General features: G+C 38.7%; 1 long non-coding RNA gene across 3 annotated transcripts, besides 1 other annotated feature; it reads left to right on the top strand.

Annotated features, from left to right (window-relative positions):
- The first annotated feature begins 4,265 nt into the window (after positions 1–4,265).
- Positions 4,266–15,195, top strand: LOC105371618 (uncharacterized). Of its 3 annotated transcripts, none has more exons than XR_007066734.1 (3): positions 4,266–4,333; positions 4,943–5,069; positions 15,131–15,195. It is a non-coding gene; the product is annotated as an uncharacterized LOC105371618 (long non-coding RNA). The 3 variants fall into 3 exon arrangements; XR_007066732.1 differs by lacking the exon at positions 15,131–15,195 and adding an exon at positions 8,948–9,193; XR_007066733.1 differs by lacking the exon at positions 15,131–15,195 and adding an exon at positions 8,089–8,250.
- Positions 20,793–21,242: an enhancer, noted in NCBI's record as "active region_2096". NCBI's record gives its function as "activates an Ori minimal core promoter by ATAC-STARR-seq in GM12878 lymphoblastoid cells {active_cell/tissue: GM12878}" and the evidence as "EXISTENCE:reporter gene assay evidence [ECO:0000049][PMID:35858748]".

The following is a 21,829-nucleotide window of genomic DNA, read 5'->3' as shown; positions in this document are numbered from 1 at the left end:
GGCAGGTCTAAGATGCCCTCATTCCCATGTCAGGCACCTTGGTGGTGACGGCTGAAGGCTAGGCTCTACTGAGTCTTTCCTCCTCTCCCTCTCCATGTGGTGTCTCCAGAGTAGCTGGTCTTCTTACATGGAAGCTCAGGGCTCTAAGAGACCAAGGAAAAGCTGCCAGTCGTCATAAAGGCTAGGTCCACAGCGAACACACCATCCCTTCCATATTACTTCATCTGTAAAAGCAGTCACAGCCCAGCCCAGATTTGGAGAGAGGAGAAATAAACACCAAATAAACACCAGCTCTTTTTTGGTTATTTTTTTGAGACAGCGTCTTGCTTTGTGGCGTGGACGTGCACATGGTGCAATCTTGGCTCACTGCAACCTCCGCCTCCCAGGTCCAAGCAATCCTCCTACCTCTGCCTCGTGAATAGCTGGGACTACAGGGGTGTGCCACCACATCCAACTAATTATTTATTTATTTATTTATTTATTTATTTATTTATTTATTTATTAGTAGAGATGGGGTTTCACCATGTTGGCCAGGCTGGTCTTGAACTCCTGGTCTCAAGTGATCTGCCTTCCTCGGCCTCCCAAAGTGTTGGGATTACAGGCGTGAGACATTGGGCCTGACCTAAACACCCCCGTTGATGAGAAAAGAGGGGAAGAATTTGTGGCCACCTTTAATCTGTCATAATAATCTGAGATTTGTTGTCATTTTTCTTTGCTGCACCTGAGCAGCCATAATAATCCTATTATTTCTAGTCTTCAGAGAAACTACTGAAGCACAGAGAATTGGTAGGCCCAGACAAGCCTCTGCCTTAATTTCTACATTGGTCAAGTGGGGGTAGTTAATTCTTTTCCTAACTGTTTTACAGAGTAAACCAGGAGATAAATATTGAGTAACAATCATGTACAATATGCTTATGTACAATAGTGCTCACCATTGTAGAAGGAAAAATTAAGAATAACAACCCAGTTTCTTACTCTACATGTGAAAATTATTTGAAAATTAAAAACATCCACCATATATATATATATATATATATATATATATGGAACTATTATCTGATCTATTCTAAATAACCCCCTGTAAGAAACATGAAATTTAGCTTCAAGAGATCAAGGTGCTGTTCTCTATGAATGGCTGTGGGACCCTGAAGAAGTCACGTCACCTTCCTGTGTCTCTTTGCCTGTAAAACTAAGGATTGTACTAGATGAGTTCTAGGCTTCCTCCCAAATTTGGGTATCTATGATTCAAAGTTTTAAAAATGCTTTTGTGTTACTACTCACATTTGCTGTGGGACGGGTTCCCCCACCTAAAATAGCTACCTCATCCTAGTTCCAGCAGAGAAGGCTTGTCTGTTCTTGGTTGGAAAGCAGCCACCCTTATAGTAGGAAAGGCTGCCTGATTTCCCCTTTGCAGCAGGTACATTCAAAGACACACAAAGGTAACTTTGTCCAGTGGCATCGGAAGTCCATGTTCCCAAGAGCATGCGGAATATGTAGACTTTTTATTATCTCTGGGAATATGTCCTATAAAAATGCCCCTGCTCCCTGCTTTTCCTCCTCTTTTAAGAGTATAGCTGGAGAATCAAAATAGTTATCACAAGAAAACAACATCAAACTTTCATTTTCCAAGGTAGTTACCACAACAAATGCACATTCTTGCTTTGGGCTTTGAAGAGTTCCCTTCATTTCCTCTGTTACTGGCTATCAGTGGGTTTGGGTATGACACACCTTCTCTCTCACTCACAGCCATAAAGGTAAAGGGTACTGAGAGAGAGTAAGCCATGACTCATTTTTACATCTTTTGGTTTTTGATCAAATGCCAACAGATGGCAAGAGATAAATAAATGAGTCTTCAATAATGGCGTATGTGGAAACCGGTAACATTATGGGTGATTATTCAAGTTTCATTATTAATTTTCTTCTTCCTAAAATTATAAATAAATGTAGCACAATAGGCAAAGGACACTATCCTAATACCTTCTGGGAGTAGAAAGAAGTTGCCTTCCCAGCAGCACTATTCAACTCTACATGCAATTTACTCACACATATTCAAGTAAGAGGTAAGGTAATAACTGCTTACCATAAAACCTTGGGGTTTCAGATCATCATGGCAAATGCACATTATTTGTGTAACAAATTATAGAAAGAGTTTCTCTTTTTAAATGCATTCATTTTCTTTCCTTAAAAGCAACAGAAAAGGGAAAACGCTTTCTCAAATGACCAATATCAACCTCTTATGCAACCTAAGTAGTATACAGAGTTGAAAAGAACATGAGAGAAACCAGCCCCCTCATTTTACAAAGAAAGCAAACTATGATTCAGAAATAAATGACTTGTCCAAGAAAACAGAGGCAATGGGTAGTCAGGCCCAGACTAGTCAGGCCTCCTGAGCCTCATCACAGAGCTCTTTCCAGCATCCGTGATGCTTCTAGAAGAGATAGCCTCGGCATTTATTCCATTATTCCGCTGGACTATGACATTTTGAGGAGAGACAGAAGATGAAACAGCAGTCCTCCTTTATAAGCATGGTATCTGAAGTGCAGCAGGTGCTTATAGATATCTATGGAATGAATATATCAAAAATGCATCATTTTGGACAAAAATAATAATAATCTGACCTAAAAACCACAGCCAAAAAAAGTCATAAGGATGATTGCAAGTGGGAGTGTGTTCTCTAAGTGTTCCTTGATGTAATTCTCACCTCTTCAACAATATTTTAAACTCTGTATGAGCTGAAGCTATGTAATTTATATATTTTCCTTCCTTCACACCAGAATATCAGGAATGCTATTGAAAATCCCACATTTTTGGTCCCCAAATCAGGACATATAATGTGAAAAGAAGTTTTTCACTGCTTCTTGAGGTGGTGAGCTAGCTGTCTAGCAGATGGAACTGTTGTTGTTTTAACAGCTTTATTGACATATAATTCACATACCATACATTTAGTTATTCAAAGTGTACAATTCAGTGGCTCACCAACTTGTGCAACCGTCATTCCAATAAATTTTAGAGCATTTTCGTCACCTCAGAAAGAAATCCCGTATCTCATAGCCTTAATTTCAACCTCCACCCACCCTATCTCCCAGTCCCTGACAACCACTCACCTACTTTCTGTCTCTATAGATTTGCCTGTTCTGGACTTTTCATATAAATAGAACCACACAATATTTAGTCCTTTGTGACTGGTTTCCTTCAGCTGGCATGATGTTTCTAAGGCCCATTTGTGTTGAACATGCATCAGTACTTCATTTCTTCTATGGCCAAATAATAATCCATTATATGGATATAGTACATTTTATTTATTCATTTATCATTGATGGACATTTGGGTTGCTTACACTGTTTGGCTGTTATGAGTAATGCTAACAGATTTTTTGAAGAACACAACTTTCATTTCTCTTATGTGTATATCTAGGGGTGGAATTGCTGAATTATTAGCAGATGGTTTTACTGTAGAAATATTTGAGTTAGTGAAACATTTTTTATGACTTATGAAGGAAATTAGACCCAATAATTGAAACAAGATCCATCTCATATATATTGATGCAAAGGCTAAGGGAGGAATTTATTCATCTTTTTTGAGCTGGCTTTAAGTCCAGAGTCAATCCTTGCCATTTCCCTATTGTAGAAAATCCTTGTTGTAGACAGATGACCCTATTGTGGACAGGTGCACATTTTCCAAGTATACCTCTCTCTCTACTCAATAAATCCATAGAATGATTCTGAAAATGCATACTTAATATTAGGAACTTCACAGAGCTATGAATATATATATATTTCACCTCAGACCTCCTCAGGCAGAAGAAGACAAGAGAAAGACTATATTTCTTATTTTCTTAAAGAGACATGATCCATCTGGATAATATCAACAAAACTTTACATTCTAAAGTTGCAAATAAAATTATTAATAGCAGTCATGTTTAAAGAACAGTAGAGATGTATGCACTATAGACATATTCTATTGAAATTCTATTCAGATTCAATGTGAACTCTATGTTTGTGTCCATTTAATAAAATCTAGAGGCTGGCATTACTGTTTTAAAGTTATAATAGAATTGTATAGTTTATATACTCTTGTTTTCAAAAATCATCTGCTTATATGTTTGACTTAATTGAGAATTAGTTCTTGATCAGTAGCACATCCCTCACCCAATGTATGGCATTATTTGTTTGGCAAAATATGATCCACTTCATAATGGTCTGCTTTGTGACATAGCTTCCAGGAACTCACTGTGGTAAAAACTGGGGACTTTCTGCACCGCTTGTGTTGGACTGTACCTTCCCTGATCTTACCATCAGCTCAGCTGAAGGTGACTCCCCATTGTGTTATCAAGGTAGTACTGGCAAGAATGTGAGGTGGTGACCCTGAGGATGGTGGTTCAGACTCTCACCACCAAAAAGTACCCGCTAGGGATAAGACTGTGCTCTTTATACCTCTCTTCAGAGAAAAATTTAAAAATTTTGTTAACTGTTATTTACCCAGCTGTTTTAAACCCCCTGGCTATTGATCTTCAACTTTTGATAATGTAACTGAAAAGTCAGACACTTTACTTTGTATTCAGTGCTCTGAATGTCAGACCTTAATCTGAACACACTGGATCCTAAGGTCTTAGCTCAACTGTCTAATGGCCTTCACATTAATAATAATCCGGAGTTCCTTCTCAATTATGAACCCATAAAATATGATGTCAGCCTATTTTATCTATATGGTCAGGATTATTGTATTCAATTCAAAGGTCCTGTGACACAGGGAAAGAAGAACACTTTGGAATGCCTGGATTCAAGCCCTGGCTCTGCCATTTGAAAAATGAGTACTTTGGATAAGTCACAATCAATCAGAACCACAATTTACTCTTTTATAAGTTGGAGGTAATTATAGTGTGGCAGAGACAACATAGCATGTGTTCACCAAATCTCATCTCATTTTCCTTTTCCTGGACAAGAAAAACACTACATTTCTCAGCCTTCCTTGCAGTGAGCTTGGAGCCAGGAGAACTGGGCTATGAAGAGGGAGATTTAATTCCTAAAAACATCCCATTGGGAGCTCCAACTCTCTCTCCTTCTGCTATGGTAAGCTCAGAGGCCATGTGTTTAGATGTTTTCTGTATTTTCTTAGATTCTGTATTTTTCTGTGTGACATCCATCAATCACAGGCCAACTCATGGCCAAAGCTGTTTACATCTCCCCTGCAATCCAGCTTTTACCACCGCATAAAAATCAAATCACAAACAAAACAATTCTGAGTCCATACCTCCTACTGCTCTCTTTATCTAACTCTCACATACCGAGCCACTATTTCCCCTGCCCTAAATCACCCAGGGCTGGGTGCCAGAAAACTAGGGCCCAGAACCCACCTCTAGTAGCCCAGAGCACCCCAACATTATTCCAATCATCCAATCCTAAGCTGCTTCGCCTGCCCTGCTTTGCCTTTCCATGAGAAAACATGAGGAAGCCTCTGGGCCAGGCCTTCCCCTCGTGCCTGCTTCTGCCTCCTGACTGACTGTGCTTCCCCACGTGGTCCTATGTGGTGCCCTGTACTTCGAGGACCTGGGGAACTATAAGCTTTTCTTCCAATGGCATTGACCATTCCATGTTATCACTCAGTCGCCTTTATAAATTAAGACCCAGACCCAAATTAAGATAATGGTTTTGTAAGATGAAGAATCTTTGCTGACCAGCATTGGACTTGTATGACAGGGTGATCAACATTTGTTTTGCTAAAACACTGAAATTTTGGCAGTTCTTTGTTTCTGCAACTTAGTTGAACATGTCCTGACCAACACAAAATCCTAAGTTTTCAAGGTTATTTTAATGATTAGGAAAAAAACCCAAATGTATGTAAAGTACAAAGCAGTTCATAGTACAATGTAGGAACTCAAAAAATGGTAATCATTATTATGATTATTATTCAACAACAATCCCTAAAAATACTATATGCAAATAAAGCAAACCTGTCTCTCTATTACCCCATCAGGTAGAAAAAGAAAAACAATTTTTCACCAAATATGGAAGATATGTTTGAGACATTCTGACTTAAAACAGAAATTTTGGTGTTAAAAAAATACACTTTGGCAGTTTTTTCAGAGACAGGGAGTCACCCTTCAGAGAAGCTAAAAACAAGGACAAAAACTTACTCACTGGGAGTGGCACTCTGTCTTAGACATTACAGACAGAAAACTGTAGTGACTTCAAAGGAAACCCATATTAAGAGACAAGCACAGATGCTCTAAATTATAGTCATCGTTTTGCTTCCAGTTTCTTCTCACATGGACAATCTATGTAGCCAGGAATCAGCAAGATTTATTAAGAGGTGCATAGCCAGTCACTTTGTGCATCTCTTCACAGTTTATAAAGCACCGGCAAACATCCTAATAGCCATATGAGGTGATCAGGTAAGCCATTTGCTATTAGTACACAGAGAAGTGAGTTCCCTGTGTGGAATGGCAAATTACGCCCCCCACCCTTTCCACTTCCCTTTCCAATTGCACTTTCTATATGCACTCCCAGAACTTAGAGATTATATTTTTCCCCAAATGTAAAATCAGGAAAAGTTTATAGGCAATGGATGGCATTAGGATCCACACAGATAATTTACAAACTTGCTGCTCACAGTGAATCCATGGGCCAGCAGCATCGACATCACTTGGAGCTTAGAAATACGGAATCTCAGGCCCCGCCCCAGACCTACTAAGTCAGATTCTGAATTTGAACAAGATATCCAGGTACTTTCTGTACACATTAAAATTTGAGAAGCATTGCTCTAGAAGAGTATCTGTAATTGTGTGACTGAGATTTGGGGACCTCGAAATTGAATCAGGAAAATAGCATGTAGACTCAGGGAAGAGTAGAGTACAGTTGCAACTAATAAGCCTGAATAAACGTAAAGTTGATTCTATCTGAAAGTAGAAGCTGTTAATGGAAGGGAAACAAGCTGCTTAGAATCTAGAAAAGCAAAACCCAAAAAGCAACATTTTCCTTAAGTCTTCTTCACTATTTAGTAAAGATGACCCCCTGATCTACCAATCTGTGTATTTATTTTAAGAGATGATGAGTGCATTTGACCACCAAAGCTGAGTGTCCCAGGTAATCTACTTATAATCAAATTTTATGTGTTCCATGTAACTTTCTGATTATAATTTAACTGCCCATATCATGTAGTTTTTCTAAATGGAGAGACTGACCAATCAGACCAAAACATTCTCGAATGGCTGTCCACGCTCAAAATCTGATTGAGTGTGGTTAGGACAAACAAGTCTACTTGAATAAACTGTGTATATACTCATACAATTTTTTGACATATGTAGCCACTTCCTAGAAACACTACTACCTGAGGTTCTGATGGAATGGTCACATGGTATCTCTGGATAATAACAACAAACATTTATTTAGTACTTCATATATTCCAAAAGTACTTTGCCTGTATTACATAATTTAATTCTCATAAGTCATATATTATAATTCCCATTTCACAGATGAGGAAACAGAGGCATAAAGTCATTAAGTAACTTGACTAAGTTATGAATTGACAGAAACAGGATTTTAGCCCAGGCAGTTCAGTACCACACCAGAGCCTGCTATCTTGATCACCATGTTATGTGGCCTTCATCTTGTCCCTCAACAATTGTTACACATTGGCCTCTTCCTATTTCCCCCACCCATCATTTTTAGATTAAGTTCAAAAACACAAGCAAATCTAAGGTGCCAGGAACTAGAACTTTTGATATGACCAAGACATTAAAGCCTCAAGCCTAAGTAGGTGACATTTTCTATGTGGCTGAGGATGCTCCCCTGGGGTTTACAGGTTAAACCGCAGATGTGCTGGATCCTAAGAAGTCATTCTCTAACTGGCACCTCCTCAGACTTGCTTCCTCTGGTCTTGAGAATGAAATTATTCAGATGCCAATGTCAAAGGGGGCTAGAAAAAAGACAGGGGACAAAGTTCACTTTGCTTGAGGCTTAGGTAAAGAGGAGTCTAATTAACTCAACAAATAACTCTATTGGTGTTTATACCAAAAGCTTTGTAGAAATATACAACATGCTTTGCATTACTTGGATCTCTATAAGTATATTTCTCTTGGAATCATCACAGGAAGTGGCAGCAGCTGCACAGAACTCAAGGATTTTCAACCCTGGATCAGTGCTTTGCAATCCTTTCTCTGCCCCAGCACATCTGTGAAATACAACATGTTTCCATAAGTTACAGTGGCTCACTTCAAATAAGATTTATGAAAGACTATATGTTTCCACTCCTTTCCAGTACAAAATAATAAAGCTGTGTTTTTCAGTGCTTTTTATGCTAAATATTAATACATGCCATTGCCCTAGGGAGAAAAATCAATTTCCGTAAAAACGAGAAGCATATCAACTTAAACTGAACCTGAACACTTGGTATGCTTCTCCTATGTCCCTTCTGGTCCTTGTCAATATCAAAGAAACAAAAGTGTTATCAAAAAGGCAAAAACTAATAAATGCAGTGACCTACTTCATTCTATGTTTGTTAGAAAACTAACATGATTTATTTTATTATGCATTTAAAATATATTTAATCAATTCCCCCATTATTTTCAAATAGTTTCTAGCTAGCTAACTAGCTAGCTGTCATTATCTAGAAAACTCTTAGGACTACTTTCCAAGGGTCAGAAGGAAGTTATTTGCATATGATCACCCAACAAATGAAAATGCTAGCATCTGGTGTTAACTAATTTATTTATAAATGTTGACCATGGCAGTTGATGAGTTTATTTACTGTTTATAGAAATCATATAAGCCTCTATTAACTTAATATTTTTTAAAAGTAGATTTAGAATTTCCAAAACATGTAAAATTAAACAAGTCACCTATTTTTAACTTAATTTGGAGTACTAAAAGTTTACAAAACTTAAGTGCACTTCTGACAGTTTATTTACTTATTTTATTAATTTTTTTGAACTGTGTTTACTTTTTTCAAGGGTTTAAGAGTTTAAAGAAGCATAAAAATGATCTATTCATGCACAATCAATTAAGGTGCAAGACACTATAAGGAACTGTAAAAGATATTCATGAAACACTGAGGGGAGACCAGACAGTCTACCACATCAAAATGAAATTCAACAACAGTGACGCTGGCCAGGAAATTTGAAGGAAGGCAAGCACAATTGTAAAACAGGAGAGCTAAATGGCATAGATTAATCAATAAAAGTATTGATTAATGAAAAGAATCAATGTATAGCAGCATAATATAAGAAATATGTTACAGTTATGACAACTGTAATGCATGATATTTAGGATAAAAGTTAAACACAATTCAATGAATATAGTAATTTTATTAATAACTACTAATATCAGCTAGAGAGAGTTTATGTTATGACATATAACTAAAATGTAAAGCAGAAATAGGAATCTTTATATCTAAATGTTGGTGCCAAGCAATTATTGCTTTCAGATAATTTTCAAGAACTTGCTGAACCAAATCACTGAATCACCAAATTGTTATCCAGAATTTAACAAATTGTTGCATGAGTTTACTTTTCCACCAAGTACCTGTTTCCCATATGTTAATGATGAGTATTTTTTTATTAAAAATTTTCCAATTTGCTAAGCAACAGAACTATATTATTTTAAATTCTCTTTTTTCCAGTGAAATTGAATACCTTTCTGCATATTTCTCAGACTTTAATATTCGTTTTAGAAATTTCCTGCCTGTGCCCCCACCCATTTTTCTATTGGAATAATCATTTTTATCTTATTGGCCTAAAGAAACATTCATATATTCTGGCTATTTATACACCATCTATGTTAAAATATTTTTCATGATTAGAAATTTGCTTTTTAATTGTTTTAAATAGCTCTATTCCAAGCACTGTCCTTTGAATGTCTCCTCCAAAATGCATGTTGAAATTCAGTTGCTCTTGTGATGATATTAAAAGGTGGGACCCTTAAAAGGTGATTAGGCCATAAGGATTCCACCTTCATGAATGGATTAATGTCATTATCTCATGAGTGAATGAGAATAGGTTATTATAAAAGCAAATTTGGCCCCCTCTTGCTCTTTCTTGCTTTACCCTCACTTGTCCTTCTGCCTTCCACCATTAAATGACATGACATGAAGGCCCTTGGAAGATGCAGGTACCATGTTTTTCTACTTCCCAGCCTCCAGAACCATATGGCAAAAACATTTCTTTTCCAACAGGCATCCTACAGAATGGGAGAACATTTTTGTAATCTACCCATCTGACAAAGGGCTAATATCCAGAATCTACAAGGAACTTAAACAAATTTACAAGAAAAAAACAAAGAACCCCATCAAAAAGTGGGAGAAGGATATGAACAAACACTTCTCAAAAGAAGACATTTATGCAGCCAACAAAGATATGAAAAAAAGCTCATTATTACTAGTCATTAGAGAAATGAAAATCAAAACCACAATGAGATACCATATCACGCCAGTTAGAATGGTAATCATTAAAAAGTCAGGAAACAACAGATGCTGGAGAGGATGTGGAGAAGTAGGAATGCTTTTACTCTGTTGGTGGGAGTGTAAATTAGTTCAACCACTGTGGAAGACAGTGTGGAAATTCCTCAAGGATCTAGAACCAGAAATACCATTTGACCCAGCAATCCCATTACTGGGTACATACTCAAAAGATTATAAATCATTCTACTATAAAGACACATGTACACATATGTTTATTGCAGCACTATTCACAATAGCAAAGACTTGGAACCAACCCAAATGCCCATCAATTATAGGCTGGATAAAGAAAATGTGGCACATATACACCATGTAATACTATGCAGCCATAAAAAACGGTGAGTTCATGTCCTTCACAGGGACATGGATGAAGCTGGAAGCCATCATTCTCAGCAAACTAACACAGGAACAGGAAACTAAACACCGCATGTTCTCAGTCATAAGTGGGAGTTAATGAGAACACATGGACACAGGGAGGGGAACATCACACACTGGGGCCTGTTGGGGGGTTGGGGGCTAGGGGAGGGAGAGCATTAGGAGAAATACCTAATGTAGATGACGGGTTGATGGGTGCAGCAAACTACCAAGGTGTGTGTATACCTATATAACAAATCTGCACGTTCTGCACATGTATCCCAGAACTTAAAGTATAATAACAAAAAAGAATCTATTTTGCCATATTTTCTGAATTTTTTGCAATAGGCATTTTAACAATAAAAATAACAATAAATGATATGAAAAAAAAGAAATTTATTTTCAAGTTACCCAGTCTGTGATAGTCTGTAATAGCAACACAAAATGGGCTAAGACAGCAAGCAACTGAGTTATAGTTTATTTAGGTTTATAGCAACAAATCTGTACCTAGCTGACCTTATGCCCTCATTGGCTTTCTGTGCCTCTTCTGTTTGCCTGAAAGATAGAAGCACCTCTGTGTTTTACCTCACTTCTATCTCTCCCTTCAGAGGTGAATGCACTTCGGCAGTTTTCAGAACTCTGAGCTGATACTTCCTAAATCGATATCACTATCCTTAACTCAGACCACTCTATAAGCTGGTACTATGGTTTCATTTTACTGACAGATACTTCTAAGATTTCATTCATTCATCTACCACTCCAATGTGTATAGCACCCCTTATGCATACCTACTAAATATTAAATATTGTGAAGTTTTATCATCTCAAATACAAAGATTTCCAACCAAATTCAGCTGCTGTCCCACATTCCATCCTGCCCTTTATAATTTCTCTCTCTACTAATTGTATCCCCAACTTTCTGCTGCTTTATCTAAAATGTCATGACTCTTCTCTCTCTATTATTATCACGTGCAATCAGTCTCTGTTAATTCTTCCTCCAGTGGCTCAAAAATCAACTCCTTTTTTTCACGCAGCTGCCATGCTGGTCTAAGGCCTCATCAAGTGGCACCTGTTTAATTAACCGCCATCAACTTTTATTGGCCTCACTGATTCCCATCTGTTTCTCACTTCAATTCATTTTGTACCCTGTGCTGAATTACTCTTCCTGCAGCATGGCTCTGAAAATGTCATTCCTCTGTTCAAGAATTTTGAGTGCTTCCTTCTGCTTATGGAAATAAGCCCCCAATTTGCCAGTCCCTCAGTAGAGATTTCTCATGAGCTGGATTCTCCCTATCCCAACTCATATTTCACTATTCCACTTCAGAAACACATTTAACATTGTTTCTGCACTATCCTCTGTACAAGCCTCCGTGCCTTTGCTCATCCAACTTTGATTATACCCCTCACTTCTCTCTATTAGTCCAAACTCTGTTAAACTAACTCTTCAGGGCACAGCTCAAGTCTTTTCCAGGAAGCTGGCCCCAGCTAAAACCACAGTTTAGTTTTCTTAGAACTGGAGTAGACTTCATAGAGCACCCTCAGGGACTCTAAGCCGCAAAAATATTAAATTCTATTCAACAAAAATTTATTGAATATTCATTATGCACTAAGCCCCAGACTAGGAACTGGGAACAAGAAAAACAAATAGATGTGATCTCTCTTTTTAAGGGACTCTTGCTTATTGGAGGGTACAAAATATATAAACATACAATTGCATTAAAAGCTGTCAAGTTCTAAGATGGAGATAAACACATGCTGTGAGAATGAGAAGGATGGGCATTTAGTCTAGCTGAGGATTCAAGGAAAGAGTCCTAGTTGAGACATCTTGTGATAAGAATGTTAAAGATGAGCAAGAGCTACCAAGACAAAAGTGGGAAAGAAATTTGAGACAAAGGGAACAAAATAAATGAATGCAGAGACATAAACAGTGGGAAGGAGGTGAGGAACTAGAAGCCTGGTAGCACTAGACTATAATGTTGTGAAACAAGAACTGGTGAGAGATGAGATGGGAAGTGACTGGAGAGACTAAGCCAGGCATTTGGGGTTTTGTAAACTATATTAAGAACTTTGTACTCTAATCTGTAAATGATGAAGAACCATTAAAAATGTTTACACAAGGAGGTTAAATGATTGGGTTTTGCTTTTAGAAAAAGTATGCTCCTTACGTTGTAGAGACCAGATTTAAGGGAAGCAAGTCAGGAGAAAGGAAACTACAGATTGCGATGTTCCAAGGAGAGGACAAGGACCTAAGTAAGGAAATCGTTATTGGGGATGAGCCTGAAAACAGATTTAAAAAATAGTTATGAGCTAAAACCATTAGACCTTGCTGATTGCCTAGATGTAGAAGGCCCAGGACAATGAGAAGTCTTACATAATTATTTAATCTCTGGTTTGGGCAACAAGATGGTTATGCCAGTAATTAAGCTAGAAATAAAGGAACCATTGGTGAACAGAGAACAACAATGAAGACAGTTCCAGGTATGTTGAGTTTGAGATTCTTCTGGGACATATCAAGCTAAAGATTACATATGAGTTCTAGGGTAAAGATTAAGTTTGACATTAGTTGTCATTCCAGTTATAAATGAAACAATGACAAGGATGAAATTCCTCAAGCAAAGTATGTAAAGAAATGGAGACTTTGGGGTAATGTTAGAAACCTGGGTTATTGTAGTTACTGGACACACAGAAGAGGAAGAGCCCCAAAAGACAAGAAAGAAATCACTCAAAGAAGCAAGAGGAATGCCAGGACAGATTGGAGTCAAGAAACTAAACCAGAGGGTTTTAAGATAGGGCGTAAGATACGGACTGAGAAAGCATCCTTGGGTTTCGCAATACAAAGTTCATTGGTGACCTTTAGAAGTGAGTCTAGGCTCCGAACCGTGATGTGTTGAAGTGTAAATGAATTACAGTCATGAATACAGTTTACTTAGCTGAAAACGAAAGGAGAAGAATTAGGGCACAGCTAGAGGCGATGCAAGGCCAAGAAATAGCTGACTGAGGCTAAAGGAATACAGATTGCAGAGGCACACAGTAAATGAGGGTCTTTATTTCATTACAAATATACAGTTTAATACTCAAAAATATCTTTCAAACACGAGGTCAGAAGGGAAATAAAGTTGCATGAATTGCCTTTGGTAGAGTTCTAACTACTTTGTGTACAGGAACATTATGTTTCTATTTTCACTGGGACCCAGAAGCACGCAGAGCTGCCTCCTCTCTTTCGTCACATGTCTCCTGAGATCCTTGAATAACTCAATTTTGGGATGTAATCATTTTGCTTTCAGGGAAGCTGAATACCATTTTTGTGAGGAATCATTCCACCACCATGTGGCTACTCTTGAGAATAGCATTTTTCTCAACTTCCTCCTAGAGCTAGCTACTGGGTTGAGTTCCCAGAGAAGGAGAATTCCACAGCTCAAAGAACTTTAGAAACCCTCTCTTTATTTTGCAGATAAGGAGAGCAAAGATAACTTGCCTAATTTTTCAAAATTTCCGTATATTTTAACTGGTTATGAATATTTTATACATTATGAGTGATTATATATATATAAAGCAGACAACAAAAAACACATACAAAATCTTTCCATGTTCATTCAAACCCAAGGACAACATCCCTGTCAGACTGTCTTAAGTAAAAAATATTGATGAAATGCAGCAATACACAGAGATCAGTGTTTCTAAACTAATCTTTAACAACAACATCCTGCCTTGAGGCTAACATGATGTTTTGTTTAAATTTAAGCCATTTCCAAAAAAAGTTTTAATTTCCGCAAGTTCAGATTGGTAAAATAGAAAGCATACCTACAGAGGATCAGTCCTTAGGTGATAATTAGAATGTGTTTATTATCTTAAGATATAAAACCCAGTTGTATAATATCTTTTGTCATTTTGCTTTTCTCTATCTTTTTTTGTGATAATAAAAATAACAGATGTCATTAAAGAAAATGTGAAGGTTTCAAGGGAAAAAGACATAAAAGTCACTAAAAGAGTTCATAACCCAATAGTATTTTAAAAAATTTTTTGGCACTTTTAATCCCTTATAACTGCTTTAAGTTAAAGAAATCAAGCTCACTATTTTATTTATCCCATTGAATTAGCTAAGAGTTAAAAAATGATTTCTTATATTTACAGAAGTTATTTCACTCTTCATATTAATCACACTTAATCAAAAAGTGTCACAAACTCTTAAGACTTTAAATAAATGTAAAACTGTTAAAACAGAGCAAAGTTGACAAGGTTTGGGCCACCTTTATGCAAGGTGGCATCTTCAGCCAGACTGTCCATATGTTCATTAATGCTGTCTTTAATTATTTCTAAAAATCTTTAAGGCATTGGCTGCTCCCTGCATCTTTAATCTGCTGGTCCAAAGATGCTTCTGGTGAATGGAAGTGCTCTAAATTAGCAAAACTAGAATAACCTAAGCTTTGAAATGTTTCAAATCAAGGCAATGGACTTCTTCTGAATAGTACAGTTGATCCTTGAACCATACAGGTTTGAACTGTGTGGGTCCACTTACAGAGAGATATTCTTCCACCTCTGCCACCCCTGAGCAAGATCAACTCCTCGGTCTCAGCCTACTTAACATGAAGACAATGAAGATGAAGATCTTTATGATGATCTAGTTCCACTTAATAAACAGTAAATATATTCTGTCTTCCTTATGATTTTCTTAATAACATTTTCTGTTCCCTAGCTTTATTGTAAGAATATAGCACGTAATACATATATTAATAACATATAAAATTCAAAACAGTACAAAATGGCTGTTTATGTTATAGTTAAGGCTTCCAGTCAACAGTAGGCTATTAATAGTTAAGTTTTTGGGGAGTCAAAAGTTAAATGCAGATTTGCAACTGCACAGGGTCAGGGGAGTTGGCACCTCTAACCCTTGTGTGTTGTTCAGGGCTCAACTGTAATGATGTCAATAACGATGACGATAACACCTTCTAAACCTTTTAAAGCATAAATGTTTTATGAACCTCTCATTTAGTCATCTTAACAACCCAACTTTACAAACGAAGGATTGTTAAGTAATGGCCCTACTTCACACAGCTAATATTCAGATAGTTCCTCTCTGCCCTAAAACCTGGAAGTGTGTCAGCTTCAGTAACCACAGTCCCATAGTCCAAAACAGTTTCTAAATACTGAATGCTTAGCCAGCCCCAGGGTTTCTGATTCTTTTCAAACTACATCAATGTGATTACATCACACCTGCAGTGGGTAAGATCTTGTAAAATTATACCTGCCCCACTTTTTTGCTTTTTTTTTTTTTTATTAAGTCAGCCTAAGGAGTTCATTTCTGGGGAAATACCAGGATATTTTACAAAAGAAATGCAAAGAGAAAAAAATGTGCTAATATTCAGTTTCTGATATACAAAACAGAATTATTCAGAAGCCAATATTCTGACAGAGGGTTTTTCCAAACTCTTTTATTACCCCACATCAAGAACCCAACTCACAGACATGGCTCATCGTGTGGAGATGATAGATCCCTGGGTCTCTGATGGCAAACCCCCTGAGAGTCTTGCTGCTCAAAGACATGACTCTGGAAATAAAAGGAAAGGCCACTCCCCCATGAATTTTTAATAAAACACAGAAAATTAGAAGGCAGGAGAGCAAGACTCTTAACCATGTGTATTCCAATTGCCCCCATTCCAGGCCTTGGCCCATGGATGAGGGAATGCATTAGAGTAAAACTGAGGGCAAGAGGGCTGCTTATTCCCTGCTCCCTGTTGAGGCATCTGGGGAATAATTACACCAACCTGATATATGACTACATCAGTTAGGAAGCTCAGTGTGGAGGGAGTCTCTTAAGTTCAGCTTTCCAAAGTAACCTTTGATTCCCATGGGGTATCAGGGATGAGTCAAGATCCAGCCACCAGCTGCTGAATCCACAGTGGCAGTGGCCTTATTGAAGGGGCTGAGGTGGATCTTGGAGCCAGTGAATTAGCAGGAGGACACAGTGGAGCCCCCAGGGCCTGAAGCCAATGGGAGACAGGGCTAAGCTAGGCCAGCAAAAGGGCACTACTAGGTTCTGAGGAAGCCAGGAGGGAAATGGGGCAACAAGAGACCAGCCACTGACTTCACAACAAAATACCAGGAAGGCAAACAGCAAATAGGTGAACACAAACATCACCCAGAGTCCAGAGAACATGGGCCCCAAAGGGCCAAAATCCTCCGCTCAGACCTCCTTATCCAGATGTCTGGATACCATCTTTGAGAGAAACGTAGAATAGTGAGCAGTCAAAAAAAAAAAAAAAAAAAGAATAGTGGAGCAGTCATAGAGAACACAGTTGTTGTTGTCATTGTTGTTGCTTCCTGGAGTCTGAGCATTACTTAAAGGAATGGATTAAATTATCTGATTTAACTAATTTAAATCCAAATGAACACTGTGAATATTTTCCTCCAGTAGCCAACAGATGGCTCCTCCTGAAGAGGATGAAGTGAGCTCTGAAGAAAAGAAAGACATTATTTTTTTCAGAGGTTCCTAGTTAAGGTGGCAAATTTAATATATGCATCTAATTTTACTTCTCCTTATAAACTACAATAAAGGAATCTTTCAAAAGACATAAATCCACAGGAACGGTTGGAATAGGAGAAAAGGCCAAAGCAACACAACTTGGTCTCTGAGCTAGAAGCAGATGGGCAAGTGAAAACTAACTTAGCAGGTCTGAGAAAGCTGAATCTCATCCTGACAGCGGACAAAACTGAGAAGAACCAACCCAATTAACACCAGAAAATCGAGGCTTAGGAACTGAGGGCTTAGGTCTCTGGAATTGCGGTGAAAGGGCTGTCTAGAATAAGGAGGAGCAAGCGAGGACTTTTTTCAGTAGCAGTTAGAATGCCTAGATTCCCTTATCTTCTCCATATTTTCCCTTTCACACATTGGTAGAATTTGAAGATTTGTTTTCTTTCTTTCTTTCTTTTTTGAGACAGAGTCTTGCTCTGTCACCCAGGCTGGAGTGCAGTGGTGTGCTCTCAGCTCACTGCAAGCTCCATTTCCCAGGTTCACGCCATTCTCCTGCCTCAGCACCCCCAGCAGCTGGGACTACAGGCGCCCGCCACCACGCCCAGCTAATTTTTTGTATTTCTAGTAGAGATGGGGTTTCACCGTGTTAGTCAGGATGATCTCGATCTCCTGACCTCGTGATCTGCCCGCCTCGGCCTCTCAAAGTGCTGGGATTACAGGCGTGAGCCACCGCGCTCGGCCTGAAGATTTGTTTTCTAAACAGGGTCCCTGGATCTAGGGGACAGCATGTACAGTTGTGGGCGTAGGTAACTGACCCAACACAAAGAGGGAGAGACCATGCATTGTGAATGGGAAATGCATCACACTCTTGCTGTCTTCCCCAACTCTGCTTTCAGAACACTGGTAGAAAGACCCTTGCCTTCCAGGCAGGAAGTTGGAATCTAGCCAACCAGTCTAAATTGACATAATGTGATGCAAGAAATAACTATGGTGAGGGCCACCTTCACTAAGACCCTTGTGTCAACTGAGCCATCTTTTTAACTTGAGTACAGAATATGCCAGGGGTCCAGGTACAGATTCTTACCTGTCCTTGGCTTTTCTTGACCATTTGCTGATTGAAGTTCCTGCCCTTCAGCTTAGGTCAGCTGAAGACATTTCTTTCATATCAAAGAATCATTCTGCTTTGCCCTGCCCCTGAAGCCTGCAGAGAGGTGGTGGTGAGATAAGAAGCAGTAAATAAAAAGCAGCCACTCCATTTGGCCACATTTCTATCACATGCCCAGAGCCTGGTCCATCCATCAGCCTCACCAGATGTCCCAAGTGTGCTGACTCATGTTTTTTGCTTGTAATCATGCCCACTGACTTCCCCAAGAGGCTCTTATAAACTCTCAGGAAAACTAAAGCCAGTCCATGGCCCAGAGACTGGTTAGATTATCATCTCCCAGGAGCTGTCATTCGATAGGGACAATGTTACACTTTCTATACACAGCAAGATCTATGCTTAGCACTCAAATTCCCAAAAGCTAAACAATACACTGTTTAGAGATTCATACAAGAGTGGTGATCTATAAACCTTAGTTGTTACAGGAAAGTAAAGATTTTTTTTAAAAGTAAAGGCGTTCAGATCACACCTGGTCTAGCCTATGTGCTCATGGCTCAAAGTAACACTAAAGACTCAGGTAACACTCTGGAAAACGTAATAGCACAAACACCACCTCTCTGGGGCCCTTCTAAAAGTGAGTAACATGAAGAAGTCAGAGGCCTTCTCCCCCTTATTGCACGGACCACACAGCTCTGCCATCTAGTTGTGACAGGAATTAGATTTTTGTGAGCAAGTAGGAATCATTTCTTGAAAACTCCCAAGTGTAGTTAAGTGGCAAGGATAGTGGAGAAAAATTATCAAGGATTGGGCTCTCAAATCAGATTAAGTCAAACCCAGACTCTAAAACCTACTATCACCTTAGACAATTTTCATAACTTAAGAGAAATTGTTTTCTTTATATGTAAAATAAGTGTTTTTATGGTCACAATTTTTTTGTTATTGCTCAATAAATGACATTCACCAGTTTGCTGAACAAATACTTACTGAGCATGCATTATGTGTTAGGCACTGAATTGGAATTTAGAATGCATCAGTTTAAAAAAATGTATATTTCTGTCTTTATGGACCTCGTATTCTAAAGGGGTTATAAATAAAAAATAAAAAAAATAAACAGAGTAAGTAAATATGCAATATGTTAGAAAGTAAGCCCTATGGAGTGGAGGAGAGCATGGCGAGAGAGATGAGGAGTTTCAGGGAGGTGCAGTTTGCAATTTTAAATAACTTGATTAAAATAGACTTTGTTGAGAAGAAAACAATTCAGCAGAGGCTTAAAGGATGAGGGATTACAAGCCATAATGCAAATAAATGCTTTTACTACACATGACTCATGACAAAGTAGGTGCTCAATTACAAAGTATTGATGAGGGGGAGGAAGAGGAGAATGAAGAGAATTTGCGAGTGTTCAAAGTCCCAAAATAGCAGATGAGTGGGGTAATGGGCTATAAAATTTCGGCTCATCTGAGGAGCATGATACTTTCTCATAATAGTAACTATCATTTATTAAGCATTTCCTATATGCTAAGCATACTGATAATTTCTAAAATATTCTGTCACATCTAATTCTTGCAAATAACCCTGTGAGGTCAAACTGAGGCAGAGAGAGATAAGTAATTTGCTCAAGGGACACGCACCTGCCAGTAAATTAAAGACAGCAAGAATTTTGAACACATGTGTCTGAGGCTGAAGCTCTTAGCCACTAATGTTGCTCTGCCTCTCAGATTTGTTCTCAGACCCAATGAGACTAGTGGAAGTGTGGGTCACATGGAGGGGACAGAGGAATGGAGTAACAGGGCCAGGACTATATAGTTCCTTTGTCTGTATTCAATCATGTTGCCTTGCTAAGCTAGCCTAACCTAAATATTATACGAATTAGACAGAAGGTCTTCTAGACAGTAAGCCTCCATGAATAGAAGATAAAAAGCCATTATACAATCACCTCCTAGGGTTTCTACAAATAATAGATTAGATCTTCTTCAAGCTAGACAGGCTTTCCCAAAGCATGTTCCTTAGCACCCCAGACTCAAGAGATGCTACACAATAAAATAAAAGTCGGTGATCCTAGAGGCGTGAGAGGCCTTACGTCTGCAGCACCCACGCAGTGCCTGGCATATAAGAGGACTGAATAATGCATATGTGTTGACTGACTCCCAAGGAAAACTGTGCAACTTTGTCTAACCCAGTGTCCCGCATACACAGCTCAATGCAAAAGCCTTCTGTCCCCTGACCTAGCCTACCATAGGGAAAGTGGCTCTGTGGTACTGAGGCATGCCACTGCACATGGGGAGGAAAGGGATAGTTCATCCAAGATCCACCTCAATCTAGAGAAAACGTTTAGTTTAAACTTAAGCGCAAATCAAAGTTCAGATAGAAAGCTCTCTTATGCATTAAAATGTTGGGGGTAAAATGTGAAGGCCTTGAAATACGAGAAAACAAAACTGAGAAATTTTACCCTGTGCCTTGGTTTCACAGGGTAATAGGCAGAAACTGAAACCAACAGACATTTCTGTTGACAAGTTCATCTTCTCAAGCCCTACAGCCCAGGAAGATTGTCATATTATTTAAAATAAGCAAGAGACTCCTCACCACAAAGCTAAAGGGCAAAGCAAATCTGTCACACTCCTCAAGGGACACACAGCTAGAAGGGCTCACCTAAATGCAGAAATGCTGAAAAGAAAGGGGGAGGGAAAGCAAGATGCCTCCTCCTCCACTTTCTCTGACTGAGGCTCTGAAGTCTGCTCCTTGCTGCATGAGTGACAAGGACTCGGTCGGCTCTAAAACACCAAAAAATGGGGGAAGTGACACTGGGTGACATTCTCCATGAGAGAGATGAGTAATAGTCTCAAAAAGTGCATGGTCTACTACCCCTACAGACTTTAGCATGACACCTCCCCCACCGAAACAGTGAGCCAGCAACAAATAGCAAATGTCACAGAAAACAAATCTCTTACAGTTGGGTCCCTCCCCAGCTGAGGTTTCAGAGGAGGGAGGCCAGCCAAGAATACAGAAGTGGTGAAAAGTCTGGCCATGTAAACCCCTTGGGTGCTTTTATACACAGGCGCTATAACTGAGCATCCCTAAGTGCCAAGGCCTACGTTAAGTTTCTTTTTAAAATACTCTATCTTATTTAAATAAATGTAGAGGGCAGTCACAATCAGCTTAGTTAATGATGCAAACACTGGAAACCAAAGGGGGTCAAAGAAGAGATGTACATTATACACACATATGAACACACACACACACACACACACACACACACACACACACACACACCCCTTCCGCCATTCCTGGTCTATTATTTTATAAATGAAGAACTTCAGAGCAAGTAGTGCATTCAAGCAAGCCTGCCTTGTCTGAGTACCAGTAGAAAAGGGATGTTTATGTGCTGATGACAGATGAATGATTAGGGCTCTTCTAGCTTGATTTTCAGGTCCCGAGATGGTGCCACTTCCTTATTTC

The sequence above is a fragment of the Homo sapiens genome, chromosome 1, assembly GCF_000001405.40.
Source record: "Homo sapiens chromosome 1, GRCh38.p14 Primary Assembly".
NCBI classification, from domain to species: Eukaryota; Metazoa; Chordata; class Mammalia; order Primates; family Hominidae; genus Homo; species Homo sapiens.
This window is presented reverse-complemented; position numbering and strand designations above follow the sequence as displayed.